At 40.1% G+C, this 25,411-nt stretch overlaps 1 protein-coding gene and 1 long non-coding RNA gene across 5 annotated transcripts in view; one reads left to right on the forward strand and one right to left on the reverse strand.

Moving 5' to 3' along the window:
* Positions 1 to 20,766, reverse strand: part of TACR1 (tachykinin receptor 1) — a 153,058-nt gene extending 132,292 nt beyond the window's left edge. For both annotated transcript variants that reach the window (NM_001058.4, NM_015727.3), the window contains exon 1: positions 19,792 to 20,766. In NM_001058.4, the coding sequence (NP_001049.1) occupies positions 19,792 to 20,180 (389 nt within the window). In that variant the 5' untranslated portion in view covers positions 20,181 to 20,766. The remainder of the gene's footprint in view (positions 1 to 19,791) is intronic.
* TACR1-AS1 (TACR1 antisense RNA 1) overlaps positions 1 to 25,411 on the forward strand; it is a 125,490-nt gene that overhangs the window by 24,437 nt on the left and 75,642 nt on the right. Inside the window, exon 3 of one of the 3 annotated variants that reach the window (NR_168011.1) lies at positions 8,076 to 11,190. The exons of the other annotated variants lie outside the window; for them this stretch is intronic. This is a non-coding gene — a long non-coding RNA (TACR1 antisense RNA 1). Of the gene's footprint in view, positions 1 to 8,075; positions 11,191 to 25,411 lie in introns of those variants that run through there. 3 annotated transcript variants of the gene reach the window in all.

Consider the following 25,411-nt stretch of genomic DNA (forward strand, 5'->3'; position numbering starts at 1 on the left):
CTTCCTTCTTCCCGAAATGCTTTCTTATTTAACTTCCAGAATACCTTACCTATTAGTTCTCTTAACTCACTGGCTATTATTCCTTGTTGGTCATATTTGCCAGTTCCATCTCATCGTCCTGATTTTCTAAATTTAGAGTTCGCCAGGGCTCAGGCAGGGAAAATGTCTCTATCTCCCTCTTTCTCCTGGGTGATTGTATACAGTCCTATGGTTTTAGTTATATGTCAATAAGTCCCACATCTGTATCCCAGACATTATTGCTCTCCTGAACTCCAGGTTTAAAAATCAACTGCTTATTCATGAAGTATCTCTACTTGTCTATCTACTGCCTATCTCAAACTTCCTGGGCCAAAATGACTCCTCATTTCTGTTCTTGAACCTATTTCTTTTCCAGTCTTCCCCATCTCTGTAAATGAAATCAGCATTCTCCCAGTTGCTCAGCATCAAACCTAGCAGTCATTCTTGACTGTGCTTTTTTCTCTTCTATTTCACATATATCCCATCAACAAATCCTTTGACTTTACTTTCAAAATGTCTCCCAAATCTGATCCCTTCTCACCATGTCTACCACCAGACCCTGGTTTTAGCTACCATAATCTCTTTCCTGGGGTCACCACAGGAGAGCTCCTAACTGGTCTTCCTGCTTCCACTTTTGGCCCCTTACTGTCCATTTGCCACACATCAGCCAAATGATCTTTTAAAACTGTAGATAAGATCATGTCCCTTCCCTGCTAATAATCCTCAGATTGCTTCTTATCATGCATAGAATGAAATCCAAGCTTATCTTGTGGTGGTAGAGAATTTTAATGCTCACTAAATATTCATAGGCTTGCCCACATTTTCCAGAGCCCTTGAAGTTGGGCCTGGCCATGTGACTAGCTCTTGGTAATGGACTATGAAGAGAAGTGATGTGTATTGCTTCTGGACTGGGACAGGTTAAACCTCCTTGCAATTCTCAGTTCTTTCCTCCTTAAATGTAGCAACCAAGGAGCTCAGGTTGAGATGGCTGAGCCACATGATGGAAACAACCTGCAACCAAGTAATATTTTCAGGGAGGTTCTCAGGACAGAAATTGTGCCTACACTAGAGTAGACTTAGACTGAGTGATGAATAAACTGCATGATAAAGCCATTGAGATTTGGGGGTTTGCCTGTTACTCCAGCATATCATAGCCTGCCCTGACTAATAATTGTGGTCTATATGGCCTTCTTCTCTAGCCTCTACCCTGACTCACTCCAATCCTGACTCACTCAGGCTTTATTGCCAATATCATTCCTGCTTTGGGGTCTTTTATTCTAGCTGTCCCTTCTACCTGGAAAGTCCTTCACTAAGATCATCACATGGCAGGTTCCAGGTCTTTGTTCAAGTACCATCTCTTCAGAAAAGCCTTCTGTAATCTCCCTGTTTTAAATGGCTTCCTTCTACTTCCCATGACTCTCTATCCTCTTACCCTTGTCGGTACTCAAAATTACATATTTTATAGTTTATTGCTTGGTGTCTATCACTCTAAATGGAGAATAAGGGCTCTTATTGTTCTTTGTTGTATCCTTAGAATCTAGAACAATACTGGCATATAGTTGATGTGTGTATTAATTACATTAATGGTCCCAACTATTTATCCCTCTCTGTATACTTGCCCTTTTCTATGAGTGTTTGCAGTTCTTGTCACTGAAGAGGTAGAATATAGCTCCCCTACATTAAATCTGGTCTGGTTGTAGCACTTGCTTTGGCCAGTGGGAGGTATTAGATGTGACACAAGCATAGACTTGAGAAGGTGCTTGCATGTGTCTGTGTGCCTTTTGCACTTTTCAAATCCAAAATTATCCTGCTCTGATAGGATAACCATGACAGCATACCTTAGCTAGCCTGTGGAAGCATGAATTGCATGTGGAGCAGAGCTGAGTGGCCCCAGTCATCCCTCCAGGGCCCAGATTATATCAGTTGGCAGCTGGTTGGCCCCAGGCATGTGAGTGAGCCCAGACAAGATTCAGACAAGCACAGCCCAAATTCACTAAATGCTCCAAACTAATGAACTAAATAATAGTTCATTGTATACTGCTGAGGTCATGTGGTTGTTTGTTACACAACATTATTGTGGCAATATATAACTGATACAGCAGAGGCTCAATAAATAACTGTTGAATTTCTACAGTGGATATTGCAGACATTTTACAGTGAATATGTAGACGCTCTTTTACAACCTGCTCCATGTTCCTGATTTAACCATCTGTCTAGCAGTCTGCCAAGTTGGTAAACTGGGAGAAGCTTTAACTTCTTCCACATTCTCATTTCTAACTCTTTACTCTCTTGCAAACATCTAATGGCCTACTAAATCTTCCAATTCCACCCTCAAATCTCTGGAATCTTGTTTCCCCAGTCCTATGTTTTGAATAATATTTTGCCTCCATATCATAATAACTTCCTATTTGGAATCATTACCAATTGTTTCTTCCCCACTCTTCAACATTCTCCCACTCCTCTTAATTTTATTAGCCTCAAAAACAAATATGAATTTAAAAATTGAGGGATCATTTTGAAAAGCTTCTTTCCAAAATTTCCTTTAAAAACATCTAGAAAATAATTTAAAAAGAAAAAAAAGGAAATATAATCTGAGCAGGTTCATTAAGGGGAAAAAAAAATGACAAAGAAAACATACTCCAGACCACGGGTTCTTAACTGTCTGATGTTAAAATTAATTTATCTTTCCCCATATAAAATGAGATATTAGAATTATTTTTAAAAACCATAGTGGATTTAACATTATCCCTATGGTCATGTCACTCATTCATTTGCTCTTCTGAGTATGAAATAAACGATGAATTCATAGTGTCAAATTCCAATAATGCTCAGACTATCTAGTTGAACTCCAGCCTGCAGTGAGTTTGTTACTGAGGCCCCATTAATAGTTGGGGTGGTAATGAATTACCATAGTGCTTATAAGTTGTGATTTTATGTTTCTTCCCTTTTTGTTTTAGTTTTATTCATGGATAAATTTTTAATGTAAGAGATGGAAAGTATAAATAAAAAGTATTTGATCCTCCAAGGAGTCATGCTTCCTCCTGCCCAGGGTTTTCATAAATGCAGTTAACTTGTTTACAATTCTTTCCTCCCAACCTGACCTCACTCCTCTTAATTAGCTAAGACTATATTTGGTTACAAATAACAGAACGTCTGTTTATCAAGCGCTCAAAGAACTAGCGGTTTCATTGCTTTTCTTAACAAGAAGCCCAGAGCTAGTCAGTTTAGAGCTGGTCTGTGGATCAGTGATGTACTCAAGGGAATTCCAGGTACTTTCTAACTTTCTGATCCACAACCCTTAGCTTAGGCTAAGGATTAGACAGGGCTTGTTCTCATAGATGAAACCTGGTGTTCTTCTCCAGGCCTCTCGCCTGTGTTTCAGACAGCAAGAAAGGGGAAAGCTAAGAGTGAAAAAGCATTTCTCCTTGTGGCTGTTGCCTTTTTATTCAGGAAGAGACGCTCAACCTAGGGACTTCTCCTGTACCCCCATTGCCCCAAAATTTCTCTCATGGCCTGTGCTCCCTGCAAGGAAGGCTGGGATGTGGACAGCATCACTAGTAGGGGACTGCAAAGGGCAGGCAACTGTAAATGGCTTGTATGTGGTCAATCTATAGTATCTGCCACAATACCCACCCCTGACACTCTCACCCTGAACTCCCGCTCTTCCTTTAGATCTCAGCCCTGAGCCATACTGACAGTGTGAATTTTCATATACAGCCATGCGCCACAAAACAATGTTTCAGTCAATAACAGACTAAGTATATGATGGTGCTTCCATGAGTTTATAATGGAGCTGAAAGATTGTTATTGCCTAGTGATGTCGTAGCACAACACATTACCTTTTCTATGGGTTGGTATGTTTGGATAGACAAAAACTTACCATTGTGTTCCAAATTGCCTACAGTATTTAGTACAATTACATGCTGTACAGGTTTGTAGTCAAGGAGTAACAGGGTATTCTATATATAGCCCAAGTGTATCGTAGGCTATACCATCTAGATTTGTGTAAGTTCTTACACATTGTTCATGATGTTTGCACAATGACAAAATCACCCAATGACGCATTTCTCAGAATGTATCCCCATTGTTAAGCGATGTATTTCTGTACTCTCATAGCATTAATGTTCTTTACTAGCTCTTAAGACAGTTTAAAATTATACAATGATGTGAATAATCATTGGATTAATGTCTTATTAATACTTATTTCTCCCAATTGACTGTAAGCTCCTGAAGGGCAGAAATCATGTTTGATTCTTGCCATTGTATCCCTGAATCTCAGGTATATATGATGTAGGAGCTCTATAAATATTTAGATCTACATTTACAAGCATGAGTGTGTTCAATGTCAGTAGAAGATAACAATAAAGCAAAGTCATGATAAAAAGAAAATGTGCCAAACTTGACTTGTATTAAAAATAACGTTAGAAGCCAATAACTTACATGCAATAAGAATACATTAGAGGCACAAAGTAAGATTTATTTCTATTTCTTCTTCAATAGTATCTACTTGCTTTTCTTACTGTATAGTTTATGGGAAGGGAGGGCCTCGAAAAAATGAAACTTAGTGTTTTAAAAGAAAAGTTTAATTTTTAAAAATTGCAGCGTTTATCTATGTTTTTTCTCTAAAAAGGTTAATTATTGAGATCCTTAAATCAACAGCTATATTAATCACAGTCTTGTCAAATGTCTTACAAAATGCACAGCCAAGTGAAAAAGTCTGCATTGCTATACTGTGCTTATCTGTTACGTTTCCCTGGGTTTTGTCAACATCTGTGCCCATGAGGATGTGTCTCCTGGGGAAACCGTGTACTACGGCAGGAAAAAGATGGAGTACCGAAGTTCTGCTCACTGAGAACCGCTGCAGTAGTCCCTCCCCTGCTCTGTCCGAAGCTGGCTTTTGCCTTGATCACCCCAGGAAGGAGTACACGGCTGGGTTTCTTTCTCTGCGTTTATATCATTTTCTGGTAGAGCCCTTAAGCTGAGGGAGTAAAATCCTCAAACTACTGTGAAGACTCCATTCCCATTAGTTTTCTGTGTCAATAACGTATTGTGTTATTACTTTTATTCTTTTGCTTCACCTGAAAGGCTCAGCAAAAGTCCTGTGCTACTGCATGATGAGTAAACAGAGAAAAATAAGGAATTTATATTATTTAGGAAACTGGTTGGAAGAAAAGCTTCTCACTGAAGTTCGCTTATTTCAGCCAACAGAATTTTAGAAAACAGTTATTTCACTTATTCATGGCCCTAAACCTAAACTTGAAAAGACAGCATTAAAAAATTAAAGCTTATGTAAGTTGTATTTTATAGCAAGGATGCAAAAACGTAAATGAAATGTTAGTAAGTAAATCTAATAGTGTGCTAAAAGGACAAAGCACAAGAACAGGTATTGTTTATTCTAGGAGTTCTAGAACAGTTGAAGATTAGGAAAGTAGGCAATATGAAAAAATGTATTAATAGATGGCAAAAACACAATTGGCAAATTAAGTATCTAGATTTGATTAAATCTCTTAGTAAACTAGAAATTAAATGATGTAATTTTAAAATGTCTGTCTTAAGCCAATGGGCAACATATTTAACAATTATATTAAGAGAAACATTACCATCACAGGTTAAAAAAAAAGGTGCTTATGATCATGAGTTTTAATTAACTTGTTCTAAAAGATCTAATAAAAAAAGTAAAGGACACAGACACTAGATGTAAGATTAAAGCTGATGATGATTTATAGACTATGCCATTATCTGAGGAAAACCTGAGAAAAAAAACCAGAAAAATCATTAGAACTTCAACTGAATTACAGGACTTATTAAGATAGCTGGTTTCAAAATAACTATTAAAAAATAAATAGCCTTCTAGTACACCAATAATAATCCATTAGAAAAAAAACCAAGGGGAAATATTGTATTTTCATTAGCAACCAAAAAAGTTAAATTTATATATATAATTTATATACAACATATGTGGTAATATGATATATATTAGGTTCTATATTATGTATTATGCAATATATAATAAAACTTTTTAAAAAATGTGTGGGATCTATAGAAGAAAAATGTAAAAAACTGTAAAGAAATCATATTAAAAGCTCGACTACATAGACTATGCATCATGTTCATACACTGAAAAAAAACTTGATATGCTAATAATTCTTTCCAAAGCTAATTTCTAAATTTAATGCATCTATTGTATTTCCAGTAAAAATTTCAACAGGACTTATCCATAAGGGTGTTTTAGATTATGAATCCAGAATTTATCAGGAAGCATATATGCATGTTGATACGATTAAAGAAATAGTCAACAAAGTAGATAGATCAGAGAAAGCCTAAATATAAATAAAATTCATTGTAGGACAAAAGTAATATTTCTAATCTGTAGGGAAATGATCAATCAATAAATGGTGTTTGAACAATAGGATAAACTTATATGGCATTTAAAAAAGAGGTAATCTAATTATATTAAATTATTGGAGTGGAATATTAAACAACAACTAAATTATAAAAGTACAGTAAATGAAATTATTTATGCATATTTGCCTACTTTTGAGTTGAGGAAGGTCTTTTTATGCATAATAACAAAGAGAAAGCACAAAAGAAAAGGCAGATAGATATAACAACATAAAATAATATAAAATAATCACTGAAAAAGAAATGAACATTTTAACCTGAAATATAAAAAATTTTTATATCACATGACCATCAAAAGGTTATAGCCTTTAATATAGCCTCAACCTACAGTTTCTGCAATTCAATATGGAATTTAAAAATTAAGATTTAAATTTAAAGCTCTATTAATTCACAAATACAAAGGAATAACAAATATATTAAAATATACTCACTAGTAAGAAGTGCAAACATAACTAACATTTTAATCTTTTAAATTGGAAAAGATTTTTGTAAAATTGTTAGGAATATGGATAAAGGAACACTCCAATATGTTGGATCTATATATTCTGTTTCACACTGCAAATTACTAAAGCTTTCTGAAGAGTGGCTTAACAGAATGAAGCAAAAGGCTTAAGATGGCTAACACTCTGAACAAACAACTTTTCTTCTAAGAATTTATCCTAATAATCATCCATGTGCGCTAGTTTTGCTAAAACACATTGATGACAAATTATATGTTGTAGCAAAATCTCAAAACACCCCCCAGGGTTTAAGCATGAGGGATTATTTAAATTACGATACTTTGTAACCACTTGGCATGATCTTATAGAATAAAGTTTATTACATAAAATATATCTTTATTATGTAAAAGAAAAATAAAATTGTATATGCTATAGGACTATAATTATGAAGATTCTATGCATAGAAAGAAAGTCTTGGGCCAGGCACTGTGGCTCACGCCTGTAATCCCAGCACTTTGGGAGGCTGAGGCGGGCGGATCACGAGGTCAAGAGATCAACATCATCCTGGCTAACATGGTGAAACTCCGTCTCTACTAAAAATACAAAAATTAGCTGGGTTTGGTGGCTCGCGCCTGTAATCCCAGCTACTCGGGAGGCTGAGGCAGGAGAAATGCTTGAACCTGGGAGGCGGAAGTTGCAGTGAGCTGAGATCGTGCCATTTTACTCCACCCTGGGCAACACAGCAAGACTCTGTCTCAAAAAAAAAAAAAAAAAAAAAGAAAGAAAGTCTTGGCATGAAATAATTCCTAAGAATTGACAATAGTGGTGCTTAGGCAGTGAGATGAGCGTTGATTTTACATTTATTTTTCTTCAAACTATTTTTTTGTAAGTTGCTAATTCTCTTTAATAAGTGTGTAATATTTTACGATTTATTTATAATTTAACTATATTAAACTAAATTTAAACTAAAATGTGATCAGAAAAACATTGGAGTTGTGCAGGTAATATTCAATAGTAAGTTATTTTTCTTAAAAAAAAAAAAGGTGGCTTAAGTTCTTACCTAAATGAACAGCCTCAAGAATCCTTTCAGGATCCTTCCAGACTCATCTGCTTAATCAGAATGTTAGTAATTTGCATTTTTTTCTATTGCTGTACTCATCAACTGTTTTATATACAGCAGTTTTTGTTTTCATCTGTTTCATCTCCATTTTTCAGTCATTGACATTTATTGAAGCTGTGCTATTTTCAAAATGCTGAGGAAGTATTGGGAGGAGATGAAGCAAGGAATTTTTATCCAGGTGTACAGAGAAAAAAAGAAAGGAAAGATGCAGACAAAGAAAAAAGGATGAAAACTTCCAGATGACATGTGGGTCCAGACAGACCCTGGCAGAAAGCCCAGCTCTTGGAAAACTGGCCCTCGCCCCAGGATTTGTAAACAGCACAAATTCACTGATGAAGATGCAGGAGAGGTGAAGAATCTGCTTTGGCCATCTCAGCAGCACTGCCCTGCTGCCCTTAACCCCAACCCACTGGACTGGCTGAGAATATATTCCACAGTCCCTTCTTAACATCCTTCCAGGTTGTAAAGATATTACATATTTATCAAAACAATTAGTGACTTATAAGAAGTCTGAAGAAGACAGAAGCAAATACGCAAACAAATGCAGAGTGCAGTAGCACCTCAGGGCAGAGATAATTCTGCCTGTGACAGGAAAAGATCTTTCAACAGCAGTTTGACAGCTCCTGGTGACAGATCCCCACCACAGTATCCTCCAGCAGACCCCTTGGTGGTATACCTGGGACTATTTTTTGAAAGCCAAACTCTGGATACTTCTGTATTACCTAAACTCCGGCACCTCTTACATTCCACATTGGCACAGTTCCGAGGTCTAAGTTTGTTTTAATTCTCTACAATCTTTCCTGTTCAAGGAGTAGGTAACTAGAATGAACACATTCCCATTTTAAGATACAAATGGGACCTTGGAGGTAGAAAGACGTCCATATTGTTTGTACCGTAGTGTGATTTTAATTAGCTGCTCTTCTCTTGGTTCAACTCAACTTACTAAATTGGATTGGCTGTGAAGGGAATGGAGCAGTAATTTGGGTTCATGCATTTGTGAAGCAGGATTGGGGAGTGCCTCAATGCAGACTGTAGCTGGTTATAACATTATTGGAGGGAAACCAACAAAAACGAGGGAAATAGTATCTGCGCCTTCTTTGCATTCTGCCTAAAGTCTTAGGATCACAGTGTCCTAATTGGATCATTGAAAACCTATGATGGCTTTGATTTGGCAGGTAATCTAGCTGAATCTTTAACACATTAACTTCCAGACCCCTCATCATTCCAGCTGGGAAGAGAAAAGAACTTCAGGAACAAATTTTAAAAATGAAATTTGTTAAATCATGAAAATTCCAATGAAGTTTTCTCTTTTATCTTCCTAGCTCATGTTTGAAGAGCCCAGCTAAGTTGTTGAGCTAACTCGTATTTCAAGCTCAGGGCTGCATTCATTTTGGTTCCCATCACGAATTCTAAAGGCATTTGAAATTTCCCCTTGGCTCCCTGGGACTATTTAGAAGAGTATCTCAGTTGTTTGTAGGGTTTTCTTTTGTTTAAACATTTTCAGAGTCAGACAAATTCTTTTATGAACACATATTCACTATTCAAGTGGATGTTTCTCTACAGTAAAATAAAATTAATAAATCATACAAAGTGGGTATTTAAGCTTATGCTCCTAATCTCCTCACGTGCCACTCAATGTGCACATGAGGTTTTTAAAAATTAGTGTCTCAATTATATTCTATGATAGAGAGAACAGAGGTGTTGCTAGCATGACTGCTCAGCACTCTCCCCTCATGAGCTCAGGCAGCTGTGTGATTTGTGAAGGTGGCTGCTCATCAGTCCATCTGTGGCTTAGGGCACTGGGCTGAGCTGTAAAGGCAGAGTATCATTACAGATTATTTTTTATTATCTGAAATAATGGCAATAAAGTGGAAGTGAAGGTGAAGAAACCCAGCACTCCTAGAGCTATGAAAAAGCCATAAGGCTCTGGCCTCAAGGGGAAACCCAGTTAATTTAAAGAAGGAATCTCTAATCATCCAGTTGGAGGATTCAAGGGTACTAGGTGGTTTTCAGGCTCCAGGAAGAAGGTCCCTGCCACTGATGACCTCATGCCAAGAGGAAAGAAAGCTGCTCTGTAGACCTTCTTTATAAGAGTACAGGTTGGAACCATACTAAGAGCCTGGCTTTGTTAAACCCAACACATACTACAATATTTTTGATGATTTATGTGGGTAAATAGGATACATCCAGAAAAAATCTGGCACATATTTTTCATGACCTCAGAATCTCAAAAAGGCAACTTTAGGACCAGGTCTTGTGGTGATTCTTTTTTCTTTTTGGTCATTTTTTTCATGTCAATAAAAAGGTAAAATGTAGAATGTAGTTAACGTTAATCAGGTAGATAAAGGATGCAAACTAGGGGTGGGGTGAGGCTGTGCATGATTCCGTCTATGCAAATCAGTCAAGGATTTACACTGGAACTACAAAACTCGATTTCAGTGGAAAAAGCATGAGTGGACTCTGTAGGCACCAGGTAGGCAGAACTCCACTGTGAGAGGGGCTCAGGTATCGAGATGCAGCTCTGGGCAAGACCCCTGTGAGGCATAGCCAGATTTGGGTCTCCAACTCAACCCCTGATTCCAGAACCTCAGCTGCCTCTTACAGAGAAGATGATTCTGCCACTTTTGTTTGTATGACTTTGTAACTCTAAGAAGGCATTTTTAAAAAGTAAGTAGGCAATAAAGAAATGGTACTTCTATGTAAGTAGTGCATGTGTAGTAGTGAGTTTTGTGATCAATATACATTGCTTTGTATGTGATTTGCTTTTAAGATGTTGGAAATGAGAATCTGATATATTAGAGAATTTGACTTACAAGATTTGCAATTTTAAGTGTAACACCTAGGAGGATTTAATGAATTAATTTTGTAGTCAATGTTTGGATGCTCAGGAGAACCTGAATTTATCAGTTTAATTCTCAGCAGGTTGAAATGCTTTAAGAGAATTTGTGTGCTAAATTTAGAAGTTTTGATTTATTAGTCTTACAAGAACTAAGTAAGTCCTGAGAAAGATTTTGTTTCTTCTATTTGTAAGTCTTCCTGTTAGGGATTTGAAGATTTTAACAAAGCCAGATGTATCAAATTTGTGAGTATAGTTTGAAATGCTTAGAGGAATTTAATTAATCAAGTTTATAAATACTGTTTACATTTTGAAAGATTATTTGATTTGTTAAGCTTATAAAAATTGTGACTAATAAAAATATGTAAGATTGATTTGATTAAGTTTGAAAATGGTATTCAAATACTTAGTTGGAAGTATTCTATCTCATGTTTAAAGATTTATTGAGCTTTAGTCAAAGAACAAAGGCAAATGAATGTTTCATACTTTAATGCACACAAACTAGATATATAAGAAAACTTCCATGATTTATAAAATATGTTCAAAGGCTAAAAAACACTGTAACTTCAACAAATTGAATATCAATTAAAACTCACGCAGCTATAAGAGCTTTTTGCAATGAACACATTCTCATTCAGATATTAAACAATGATGCTCACTCCATATAAGGGTGGTGACTTTGTGACATAAAGGATTGGAAATGAATGCTTAGGGGATGGTGTAAAAGAAAACATTTGGGTTTTCTGGACCATGATATACAATATCCAAATGATGGACTACTGGTAGACTGTGTGTACATTTCCAAAGATGGAAAGAATGTTGAAAAGCATTTAGCAAGAGATTTGCTGACCCAGTCAGGACAGTTTTAAACTACCATCTTTAGGGGGAAGAACATAAATGTTTTACCCTGTAGCTATTGTACTTGATGTAGAAGGAATCCAGGAGGAGGCTGAGACAAGAATGGACACGTATAATGGATATGATTGTGTGTCAGAGTTTACTAGAGGGCATAATATTAATTACTATTAATTGGTATTTTAGTGGTATTTAGTGGATGTCAGACTTTTCAAATCTTTCCCTCTCTTCTTACCTTCTACAAGGTAAGTTTCATTATAACCATTTTATCAGTTGAGGAAACTGGGGGCCCAGATAGGTTAAATACCTTGCATATGTACACATAGCTACTAAGTGGTAGAACCAGCACTGGAACCCATCGCCTGGGCTCTTTCCTAACCATTCTACTGCCAAAGGCTAGGAGTAAGTTTATTAAAGGGTGCGCTCATACAAAAGACATGAAAGGCACTCAACAGGGAATCCCAAATATTAAACATAGTGATAAAGCTGAATTGGAAAGTAGATTAAGAACTATACAAGAGAAGGGCAGGGGATTAGGCCCAGGGCTGCTTAGACAAATTAATTTCCTTGAGCAGTTCATATGTAGCATTAAAACTCATGCTGATTCGTATGTCTCCAGGTCATCATAAAGCACCTCTTCATCTTTGGTGCTCCTCATCCAGAGAGCTTCATATTTCCCCTTCCACTGAGGTGGAATTGAAGTCTCTCAAGGTGGCAAGAGAGAAGTTTGGTGCAATGTAAGCCAGTTCCCCAGTCAGTCTCACATACGTGGGACTTCACATGCACCACTTCATGCTGGAATTTTCCTGTGTCTATCGTATTTTTATATGGTGTGAACAATGCAGGAGTTGGAGGGCTGGGTGGAGAGTAGGTTTCTCCTGGTTTCACCTCAGCAAGGACAAGTAAAGGAGAGAGTGCACCTGCTGCTAGTGGGGGGTGTTAGAGAAAAATCCAGGGGGTTGACAGCAGTTAGGCCAGAGAAGGGTCCATAAGATGGAGGAGGTGCTTATCATTTTCATCTCTCTGAGTTTCTGGTATGCTTGGGTAGACGGGAGGTAAGATGGTAATGATAAGCACCTCCTCCAATCGGAAGTCTTTTCCTGGGGCACAATACCTGTTGAGGGTGGCAAGGTGTGGGTCAGGTATCCTGTGGGGCTCAGTCAACTGGAGTGTGGAAGAAGTAAGTGTGAGTTAGAAACCATGGTTATTCTAGAACGGGGGTTCTGAATCAAAAGCATTCTATTTTGTAACAAACCTTTATGGTAGGGAGAAATTTGGCCCAGTTTTTCTTTTGCATCAAGGCACAGCATCGTAAGTGTGCTATACGGTCTGCTTGAGGCATCGGGTCTGGTTTTTAGATTTTGGCTGATGTGTGCAGAAGAGAAGCATGGTCAGTTTGCTCATGACGCACACATTTTAATGAGTACCTACTCTGTGCCAGGCACTTGGATAGGTTCTGGGAACAGGAAACAAAATAAGGGATCCCTGTTTTCATGGAGCTTGCAATCTAGTAAGCAGGGAGGTGTGGGAGAGATAGACAAGGTACAGACAGTTGCAACACCACGGGATAAATGCTGTGGAAATATAAGGACCCCTCAGCTAGACTTGCAGGTCTAGGACAGCATCTTAGTATAAGCACTGAGCTAAGTCAAAGAGGACAGCAAGGTCACTAGGGAGGATGCCAGTCCTAGGTGTCTAGGTGATGCTAGACAGAGTGATGGTAGTAAGGTAACTCTGTTCTGGTCATCTCCTTTTAAGAGGGCCATTAACAAATGGAAATAACCAGTAGAGACTAATGATGATGATGTAAAGTTGGAGGAACCAGGGACAGTTAACCAGAGCTGGGGATGCTTCAAGATAAATAGAAGCTTAATACCTTATCCTTATACTTACTGGAAAGCCTGCTACGTGGAAGAGGCCTGAGACAAGTAGGAATAGTCCAAAACCAAAGAGGCAAATTTCATTTCAAGAAAAGGAAGAATTCTGTGATGATTTAATAATTTATTGAATTTAACAAATGGGAAAAATAGAGTAGAATATTTAAGCAGAGTTTGGTACTCTTACAATGGCCCTGTTTGGAAAGTTGAGGGGTTGAACTTTTATTTGGGTGGAAAATTGTCAAAAAGGCCTCTAGTATTTTCTCTTGTGTGATAGGACTCTTACATTGCTTTTCTGCCTCCAATGACAGTTTTCCTTAAATGAGGTATCATCCAAAAGCCACCAAGTGCAGGAGCATGTAGGCAGATGTCTAAGGCACATAAAAGCAAATTGCATGGGTCTTCAAGCTGTGAGGGGGTGGAGAGTGGGAGGACAATGCTAAAAGAAATTGTTTCTAATCGCTCTTCCAGGTTGAAACAGAATCCTCATTGGCATGATGAAGATTAAATGAGACAATGGACTGGAGGGAACATAAATAAAAGATATCATTATCAATTTTATTAACATAAAACTTCCTTTCTAGTTTCCAAATGATGGATATTAATAAATTATTATGAGTATTCCCAATCCAGTGTTCTTGAAGTTAATTAAAACACAAAACTCCACATTCATTTCCCTGTGCCTTGCTGCCTCTCTTCCTCTTTGTCGTTTCCTCCTCTTCTTTCTCTTCATTCTCTTTCATTCTGTCTCCTCCTTCTCTTTTCTCTCCCCTCCATCCTCTCTCCCCTACTGCCCTCCCTCTCCTTCTTCTTCTCCTTTTACCAGGAAGTCTTTCCCATATTCCCAAGGGAGTTCTTTGCTCTAACTCTGCTCCCTCTGCATGGCATTGATTGCATTGGGTTATATGCTGTTCGTGACCTTGTTAATCTCCAAAGACTGAGACACAATGGCAAAGGCAATGTCTTACTGCCTCAGAATATGGCACACAGTAAGTGCTCAATAGTGGTTTGATGGACGGATGGATGAGGAAAGAGATCATTCCCTTCACTGCCATCTAATTTTATTTCCTCTTACCATTCTCTGCTGATATTGTCTCTTTGATCCCTGGCTTGTCATTCTCTAGCCTCACTTCTCAAGTTTCTTGTCGGGCATTCCAACTAATCGTTATATTTTCATGTCAAATTCAACATAGAGTATTCTCATATTTTTCTGGGCAACTCCTCAATTCATTCCCTGATTCACCTGTGAATTCACTTCGGTTGAATCAGTCTGTCATTGACCTGAGGCACTTTGCAACATTTGACTTCCATGCTTCTGTCATACAGCTTCTTCTACCTGAAAGGTCATTTCTTTTTTTTTTAATCAACTTCTCTAAAAATCTTATCTAATCTTCAAGGCCTAACTCAGTTGCCCTATCTTGAGGTCTTCCTTGATCATTCATCACTGCTGGGCAGGATGTCCCTCCTCTTGTCTCCTATGGAATATATCTGTACAACCCATATGAAACATTTTACTTAATACCTTATATTTTAGTTACCTCTAAATCAGTCTTATTTGCCTTCATATATAGCCCTTTGAGGGAATAAACAAGGCTGTGAGTTAGGAAACCTCACCTTACCTTGATGGCATCAACACTTGATAGACTGAATATCTTTATCTAAGTTTGATGGTGTTTCTGTCTCATGATCCTCACTCTAATTCAGCAACAATAATAGTAACAGTGTCTTGTGCTTGTGCTATGTGCTTTTATTTTGAGAATTATTCTTTATTTGCCTCCAATTCAAACTATGATTTCTTCCAGTTTTTTAAAAAAGTAACACCCTTGACCATTCAGGACACTGCAGGCTCCCAGGAGTAGGGAGAGAGTGTGGCAAGTGTAACGGAGCAGCTCCAGAGAGGAGGTGGGCATTGGACCTCTTGAAGAAAGGCCCTGAAATCTAAATGACCCATCTGAGAATTAACAAACTCCATTTTGATCCACATCAATGCTGACATTGGAAAAGACAGGGCCAGTTGTGGCCAATGAGCTTCTAGTGAATGGCCATTCACAGCATCACAGCAGTGCATGGTAATGGGTTTCCAGGGCCATCCGAATTAGTGCAAAGGATCCTGGAATTTAATTCCCCCTCCAGGTGGGGTGAGGGAAGACTGCTCTGAGATAAACAATGAGATTGCAGTTCAACCAACAAGGTAAAGTTCAAGGATAGAGTGCAGGTCTAATAGAGACCTGGAAAGCAGGATATTTAAATTGGTAGCTGAGTATGGCTGGGACAGAGTGTGTAGACACGAGTTCAGTGGACAAAGTTTTTGTGATTTATTCATGTTTTTGTTCTAGGTTCCTCTTTTACATTATCAGCTCTCTCAGAGAGCTCAATTCCTCTTTTGCCTTCAACCATTACTCTCTCTGGGCAACTATATTTTTTGGTCTCAGAGAGACCATTTTATTTGGAGTCTGAGTGAGCAACTGCTACCTTTCATTTTGCTGAAATTATGCTTGCCCCTACCAGGTAGAGAAACAGTGATACCAGGCCAGTGCTTGTCTGGACCTCGCTGTTGCTCCTGTTGCTATGTGCATGGTTTCAAATCAGGTTATCTGTTGCCCATTCCCCAGCTCCCTGCAGGGCTTGGAGATTGCCTCCCTTCCTCTACTCCCTTCTTAGGTTCTGCTCCACAGTACTTGCCAGAGCATCATAATAGAACCAGTAATTGTCACCAACTCCTGAAAATGGGGGTTAGGGGAACGGGGCTGTTGAGGGGGGAGTCATCACCTCTCTGTGTCCCCCATCTTCAAATTTCATGAAACATCATACATACCTTTTAGTTTTATAGTTGTAAAGAATTTTTAAATTCTAAGTCAGAGAAATTATAGAGTTTCAATAGCTAAAATCCCTGGTATTTGTTGGAGTTTAGATAGAGGTAAACCTGATCTTATTTAGCTACATTTGTCTCTGAAACATTTTTAAATTCTAGGTAACTGCTGCCTTCAAAAAATAAAACTCTTTCTAATGGAGATATTTCTTCCCTCCCCTCCTCTCCTATCCCCTTCCCACCTCCCACTTTTCTTCCCTCTTCCCTCCTTCTCCTACCTTCCCTTCCTTTCCCCCCATCCCTTTTTTTCCTTCCCTGACCCCACCCCACCTTTCCTGTAGAAAGACTACAGGAAACATTTAAATTAGTACTGCAATCTGCAACTGAAGTTTTTCTCCGCATATATCTTGATTCTAATAGGAAATTTGACAAAGTTTACCAAGATAGTTTGACTCAACAATTCCTTTAAAAATCCTTTAAAATGAGAAGATATAGCTTTTTAAAAATTCATTTTATTTGATGTAGTAATTCTACTTATTGGGATCTATCTTAAGAAAATAATCAAGAAGGCAAAACAAAATTATCATATATAAATATTCCTTAGATTATTAATTATAATAGCAAAAATCTAGAAATCACCTAAATACACAACAGTAGAGAAATGACTACGTAAATAATAATAGCATATTCACATAATAGAATAGTATGAAGCCATTAAGATTATGTTTCTGAAAACTTTTGAATAACACAGGAAGGTGTTATTAAAGTCTTTCATTAATACCAATGGAAAAATATAGGCTACAAAATTATATAGAATCTAACCTCAATTATGTAGTATAATAGTCATAAAAGAGAAATTCAAAGGTTAGCAGGTGTTGCTTCTTGTCGGTTAGGTAAGGGGGATTGGATTTTTGTGCTCTTCATATTTCCCAAGTCTTCTGCAGTGAACAGGTTTAATTTTACAATCAGGAAAGCCACATTGCTGTTATTTTTAAAGACTTGATTCAAAGGTTGTCTGTTAAAAATTCAAGGAATATACAAACAGCTGATTTAATATTTCCTCTAAGTCTGCATTTCCATGCTGGAGAAAAGGGAGATAACTTACAGGGAGAGGACTTAAAGCCCCCTTTCTTTCCAATACATTCTTGGGAGAGAATGGATGACCACACATGCAGGAAATATATTCATTGGAAGGCCTGAGGGGGTGAGTTTATAGTGTGCTCACCAGGCTGAGCAAGAAAAAATAGAAGGAGCACTTGGCAGACATGGAGACAGAGACCTGAAGTCTCATCCCTAATTCTACCTTGAACTCTAATCTTAGGAATGCCATTGGTAACCTCCCTGGGCTGTATCTGCATGTTGGAAACATGGTGACATTCCCTGTCGCTGTCATTTCCTAAAGCTCTGGCATCCGAGACCTTTTGGTCTCACTGAGCAGGTATCACAGAGGGTCGGGGCTCTGCGGTGGTTTACCTAGAGAAAAACAACAACGGAGCTGAAATCTGGCTCCCTGCCCAATCCACTGTGCGGACTCTGACTCTCATCCCCACCCCTAACCTTCTAAGTTCCAGAGGAAAGATCAGGGCTGCAGAACATGTTTCTGTGTAAGCCAAAAGAGAGAGCTGTCTGCTGGTGCTCCATCAGCTACTGAATGCTCCAGCTCACACTGACTGACAGGTCTTCCTAGAGCTTGTGCAAAGCCCCAGTGCAGAAAAAGCAAACAAACAAACAAAACCCCCCAAAAAACTTGCCCTCTAATTTAGGGGGCATCAAGAGAGTGTTTGTAAGGCTGAACTGGCATCAGGTTTCACTACCCTGATATTCACTTATATATCATGCTATCGACTTTTTTAAGTTTAAGGAAGCTGTTATGAGATTAAAGGAGCATGTCAATGCAGAAAGATTTACAGGTGTACCTCACTTTCAGCAAACTGAATATCTGAAAACCAGTGTAGTACAAAAGATAAATTTGCAAAATAATTCATTTCACTCCCACTTTGAGTAATTGGTTTACCATCTACATTTAAAATACAAACTGATTTTCCACAATTTGTTTTACATAAAACATAGTAAGCACATAGGAGCTGCATATAGAGAGATGTACAGGGAACTAACAAATCAGTATTTGGACACCACTGCAAAGGATGGAAATGAAGATTTCCCTGATTTTAAAAGTGTTCATTGACTACAGGAGCTAAAAAAGACTTCTAATAATTTGCAAGTTATAAACAATCTTTATGCAAAGAGGGTTAGTAGTTTGGAATTTTTTTTGAAGTTTTCTCCTAGCTCCTTCTTTGGGTTTCTCACATTCAGTTATCTCAGGAAGGACATCAAAAGACTCCATTTTAAAATCACAGTGGTAGGTGTTTTAAGCATACTTTCACATCCCAGGTAAACATTTAACACCTGTGCACACATAGACATACACATTGGAGACCTAAGATACTCACAAAGGAGACAATACCAACAGAGCTGTGCTCCAATAATCAATTTTCCATCATGCTACCTGAAGAGCCATTCATTCCAGAATACCATCCCCAGTGTTTGAAATGCCAACCTTTTCACTTTCAGTCAGCTTTGGGAACCCTAACCTGTTGGTTGCCGGAACAGAAGAGCTCTCAAATGCCTTTGCCAAGCATGTTTCTCTGTGGATAGAGACAGGCTAAATACATACATTTTACATTGCAGGAGAAATTTAGAACACCTCTTGGGTAAGCTTCCTGGATCCCTATCCGTGGAGTTTCTTAAGGATAGCATAACTGTCTCTCATTCCTGAATGAGAATTCCTAGCATTACAGAGTAAACTGCATTAGAATTCTGAGTATCTTATGATACTGATGAAATGCTCTTTCACATCCAAAACAAACAAACAAACAAACACAAACCAACGAACCAACCAACCAAACAACAACAACAACTACAACAACAAACTGGAGAGTTGCAGTGGGAGCAGAAAGTCCCAGAATCCTCTAGGTGTACTTAAAACAGGAAGGCAACAAGAGGCTGTCTGACAGAAAAACAGGCCTGGAGGAATTTACAAAGCCCCTTCCAGGGTCTAGTCCTTTGACCAAACCCTAGGTATTGTTTGCAGCCTGCAAGGGTAAAGGGGAGAAGGAATATATGGAAAGGAGCAAAGCAGAAGTTGAAAGTGTCAGGAAGATGAGTGGAGAAGAGATGAAGAAAGGGGAGTTAAATGAAGAAAAGGGGGATGTGTGTTGAAAGGAAGAGAGAGAGTGATGGGTAAAAAAGAGGAAAAAAAGTTGAAATACATAAGATGAAGTTCCCCATCAACAAATGACTCAGTTGATCAGTAAAAAAACCCTCAGAGTGGCCAATCTTCCACTTGACCCATACCCCACCCAGTTCCAAACCTCACAGCAATGCCGTGGTCCTCTATGAGCACTTTCTCGCCTTTTCACAAAGGCTAATCTCACCTATCAAAGGCCACAGCCGTCATGGAGTAGATACTGGCGAAGACAGCGGCGATGGGAAAGAAGTTGTGGAACTTGCAGTAGAACAGGCCGTAGTACCATTCGTTGTGGACAGCATAGGTGAAGTTCACCACTGTATTGAATGCAGCCATGGAGGCCTCCGCGAAGGCCAGGTTCACCAGAAAATAGTTCGTCACTGTCCTCATTCTTTTGTGGGCTAAGATGATCCACATCACTACCACGTTGCCCACCACAGAGGTCACCACAATGACCGTGTAGGCAGCTGCCCAAAGGACAATTTGCCAGGCTGGTTGCACGAACTGATTGGGTTCCGAGGTGTTAGTGGAGATGTTTGGGGAGAGGTCTGAGTCCACCGGGAGGACGTTATCCATTTCGAAGCTAGGCGGTAAAGCCCTACTATCTGTACACAACCCCCCTCTGCAGCAGAGTCCTGTGGCTGGCGCCTGGGGCTCAGGGTCCTTCTAAAGCCAGACAGGAGGGTGGAAGGCTTTTTCTGGGCAGCACTCTTTTTGAAAGCTGAACTGGCGCTCAGAATATAAACGCTTCTGGATGCACTGCCCGCCTGCCCGCGGTGGCTCTGAATTCCTCCACTTTCAAGCTTCAGGAGACGTTTGAGTTCAGAAGTCTGGAGACAGCATCTCTCTTGCGGTAAACTGAAAAAGGGAAAGAAATTCCACCGGTCACAGTTCTAGGAAGCAAGAGATCCCCCGCATTTATGCACCTGCTGCTGCCTGCAACTCCTATTTCTCCTTCCTCCGCAGGGAAAGGCAAAGCCCTGTGCTGCGTGAGGACTTAGGAGCGAAGTGGGGGCCCATTGCAGCGCGACCTGTAAAAGTTCTGAGCCTATGGCCAGGATTCTGGAGCTTCGTATCCAGCTGGAGATTTTTCCTTCTCTTTTGCTGCCGCTGCCGCCGCCTGCAGTTTCGCGGGCACCTCTCGGTTCGGGTTGCTCAGCTCGCGAGTTAGCTGCGCACGAGGCTTTTATAACCCCCTGCAGAGACGTCACTGGGAAGGGGCAGTACCTGGGCTGCGTACTCGCCAGTCCCGGTGCGCAGCGCGGCAGCTGCGCCAGCTGTTGACAACTGTCTCATTCCACCGCCGCAGCTACCACGCCTTTTGCTGCTTGCTACTTGCCGTGGGAGTCTGCGAGCCGGGAGCCCCACGCACTCCGCGAGGGGGCAGTAGGTGGCTTGGAAGTAACTGACACAGATGCGGTCCGCAGCTGGAATCGTCGTTGCACGAGGGGTGCTGGGAGGAAGGAAGGATTTGGGAAACAGCTGGAGTGGAGGACAATCAACTTCCAGGGAATGAAGCCCAGAGCCCTGAGACAGCTCTGCAGAGGCGGCTTGCCTGTGGCAATGGGAAACGGTCATGTGTGGGGGCGATGTGCCAGCGCCGCGCTCCGGGCCGCGCTCCAGCTACCGAGAAGCCAGAGGCGACGACTCCCTGGTCCAGGTGTCCCGAAAACAACTTTCCTGAGGCTGTGTTTAGGAAACACCCCCACAAAATATCTAGCTCAGTTACCTGGCTAGCTGATTCACCTGGGAAGTGACAGTCTCTAAGCTTTGAGGACACTTTCCTCAGCCACCCTGGTGACTTGGCCCCTCGTTCCAGGAGAAGCTCCATTTGAGCCCTCCACCTGACCCCTCTGGATGAGCCTCTGCTCAATCACTGGGGACAGGGCTGAGCTCCCTGCGAATCTTGGTGAGCGCAGGAGCCACACTCATAGGCAGCTTGTCGCTCAGACGCGCGGCTCTGGGCTCTCCGCCAGCAATCACTGCGGCGCTGCGTTTGCCTCCCGGGGACCTGGCAGCCTCCGCCTCCGCGCCTGCCAAGCCTGCAGGCCAGAGCCGGGCTCGGGGTGGCATCGGTGGTCCTTCTCCCTGTTCCCCTTCCAGGTTTGCATAGGGGCTGGAGGACAGGTCAGCCAGCCTTCTCTGCCCGCCTCCATCCTGCCCTGCCGTCTTCTGACTTTGAGGCCTCGTATCCCAGTCCAAGACCATTTCAAACGGTAGAACTGGTGCCAGACACTTGGAGGAGGCAGGGCAAAGACTCGCCAGTCCGTATAAACCCTTTTGGAGAAGCCAAGATGGGATGAGCTCCGCAGCACGTTCCCGCCAGACTGCTGCAGGCAGAGTTCCGCGGAAAACTGAACCCCGGGAGTCCTCAGGGGCCCATCTACCCCGGTGCACCGCCCCCTCCTTTCACTGCGGGGACTCGGAGCTGTGGGACTGGAGCGCGCACCGGCAGACTTGCGCGCAGGTTGGAGTTGGCGCACACCCGCGCCAGCCGGGGAGCGGCGTTTACGCACTGGTACCGCGAGCGCTCAAAGCATCTCTCGGGAAGTGCTTTAAGGCTGGGAAATTTACTATACACTTATGCCGGGCAAAAATTGGATCCCACGCCGGGGAGGAGAATCTGCTGTTTCACTCTGTATTTTTTCGGAGCCTGGGATTTTAGCGTATATAGGAACCGCACATTGCTTTGCCAGGTTCTCCTAGGCACCCGTAAACACACTGCATAGAAAACTCTAGAGATGCTTTCAAGAGAACAGCGTCCCTTTATTTAGAGCGGCTGCACAAGAGGTCTTCTTTGTGGAAGGGAATGCCTCCTCCACCTTGGATCTCTGCTTGAGGCTTCCACCATCTCAAAGAGCTGACAGAGAGAGGGAGGAAAAGGGAGAGGGAAGGGGATGCGGAGGGTGGGGGAGGGGGGAGGGGAAACTTCTCTATCTTTAATTTTCCTTCCAAGCTGTTTAAAGTTATCTTTTCTTTTTTCTCCCTGTCCATTAGAGCCAGGCTGACGTTTTCAAAAGGAACTTTATTCAGTGGTTAAGGGAGAAAAAGAAAGCTAATCGAATAAAATCTAAATATGTAATAAGAGCTAAATATAAAATAAATATGAAATAGCTAAAAAGTAAACATTAATCCATTTATCCTCCATTAGTACAGCAAGTTGATATTTTGAAGCAGGTACTGTGCTGGGCACTGGGGCTGGGGGGTGAACAAGCACTTACAGTATGGAGGAAGACAAACAAGAAGCAATGAACCATACAAAATGGGCGGTATTATGATGACCAAAGGTACTAAGCCCTGAGTGAGGAGAGAAGAGGGAGGCCACCTAACCTAAACAATGAGGGGTATCCGTACAGATGGAAGAAAATCTCATCCATGAAGAAGCCTGAAGAATGAGTTAGGATGGGAAGAGGTTGAGGGTGGAAAAAAGGCGAATATTTCAGGCTGAAGTTTTATAAATCAAACCTTGTCACTCTGCTTAAAGTCCCATAATGACTGCCCACCTATGAGCCTGCAGGTCAGAGCGGGGCCCTGGGTGGCATCAGGGGTTCTTCTCCCTGCTCACCTTCCAGGTTTGCATAGGGACTGGAGCGCAGGTCAGCCCGCCTTCTCTCCCTGCCTCCATCCTGCCTAGCCCTCGGCTAACTTTGAGGCTTTGTATGCCAGTCCAAAGCCACCTCAAATGGTGGAACTGGTGCCAGGCACTGGGACACCTACGTTCCTTACCCTGGCCTTCAACTCTGATGTGTTGATGAGTCTGACTTGGGGTTGTTTTTCTTTCTACTCCGGGATTTTCATGGCTGGTAGCCATATCTTAGGAATCCTTATGACTTGCTAAAGCTAGTTTCTCTTCTTAAAAAGAAAAAGCATATTCATGATGGGTTCACCATTGAGGAAAAAAAAAAGCCTCAGCTATACAGTAGCAGAAGTTGTTTTTGGTTCATACCTATGATATGAGGAGACACTTTATCTAGCATCACCCATCTATAAAGTAATGAATTTTCCCCCTACAGCTTTGCACAAATATATAGATAAAATTCTATACATGCTATTTCCCTCCAAGAGCTGATATTCTTGTTTTCTTATCCTTTTTCCCCCTTCGTTCCTCTTTTCACTGAACATCTTCCTTGACACTCAACACAGGATCACACATCTTAAAGTAAACGCTGTTAACAATGTAGTATAAATCCTTCCTTATTTGTCCAGACTCTTTGATACTATCTAGATGGAAATACAAACATACATAATATTCACACATGTAAATGCAAATATAGGACTTTCATTGTTGTCTGTATTTTGTTTTTCCCACTCTAAACTTTGCCCAGCTGTTTCAGAGTCAACAGGTATAGATTTAACTCATTTTTCAGTGGTTAAATATTATTTCTATGTTATGGATACACCGTAATTTATACATTCAATTCTCTATTCATGAAAATTAACTTTGTTTCCAGTTTTTGTCACTAAAGGCAATTAACAATAAACATTCTCTACATCCTGGTGTTTTCTTTCTATGGGGGTAGATTCAAAGTGGAATTGCTGGGAAGTAGATTATATTTATATTCCTATGCATATGCATATATATGTTGTGAGTTTCTATTCATATTTGTTTATTTTTAAAAGTTTTAAATAAAGTTTTGTTTCTTTGAATTATTTCCTATATTTTATACAAATAACTAAGAGTCTATACCAACTTCATGTATTACTTTTTAAAGCGAAAACATGAATTATTTGCAATTTGCCCATATATTTGCACATACACAGACACCAGCATGGTTTTTAAAAAACTTTTATTTTGGGTTCAGGAGTAACGTGCAGGTTTGTTATATAGATAAATTTTGTGTCACAGGGGTTTGGTGGACAGATTATTTTGTCACCCAGGTAATAAACTTAGTATCTGATAGGTAGTTTTTTGATCCTCACCCTCCTCCCACCCTCCAGCCACAAGTAGGGCCCAGTGTCTGTTGTCCTTTCTATGTGTCCATACGTACTCAGCGTTTAGCTCTCACTTATAAGTGAGAATATGCAGTATTTTGTTTTCTGTTCCTGCTTCAGTTTGCTTAGAATAATGGCCTCCAGATCCATCCATATTGCTGCAAAGGACATGATCTTGTTCTTTTTTATGGCTGTGTAGTATTCCATTTACACGTGTATATATATACCACATTTATATATGTGGTATATATACAAATATGTACCACATTTTCTTTATGCAGTGTACTACCATTCATGGGCATTTAGGTTGAGTCCATGTCTTTTCTATTGTGAATAGTTGCTGCAATAAACATATCAGTGCATGTATCTTTATGGTAGAACAATTTGTATCCCTTTGGGTATATACCCTATAATGAGATTGCTGGGTCAAATGGTAATTCTGTTTTAAGTTCTTTGAGAAATTGCCACACTGCTTTCTACAATGGCTGAACTAATTTACATTCCCACCAGCAGTATACAAGTGTTCCCTTTTCTTTGAAACCTTACCAGCATCTGTTACTTTTTGACTTTTTAATAATAGCAATTCTGACTGATATGGGATGGTATCTCATTGAAGTTTTGATATGCATTTCTCTAATAATTAATGATAGTGAGCAATTTTTCATATGCTTCTTGGCCATGGGTATGTCTTCTTTTGAAAAGTGTTCATGTCCTTCGCTTACTTTTTAATGAGGCTGTTTATTTTTTGCTTGTTAATTTAAGTTCTTCACAGATTCTGGATATTAGACCTTTGTTAGATGCAGAGTTTGCAAGTATTTTTTTCCCATTCTATATGTTGTCCATTTGCTTTGTTGATAATTTCTTTTGCTGTGCAG

Source organism: Homo sapiens, chromosome 2, assembly GCF_000001405.40.
Source record: "Homo sapiens chromosome 2, GRCh38.p14 Primary Assembly".
Classification (NCBI taxonomy): domain Eukaryota; kingdom Metazoa; phylum Chordata; class Mammalia; order Primates; family Hominidae; genus Homo; species Homo sapiens.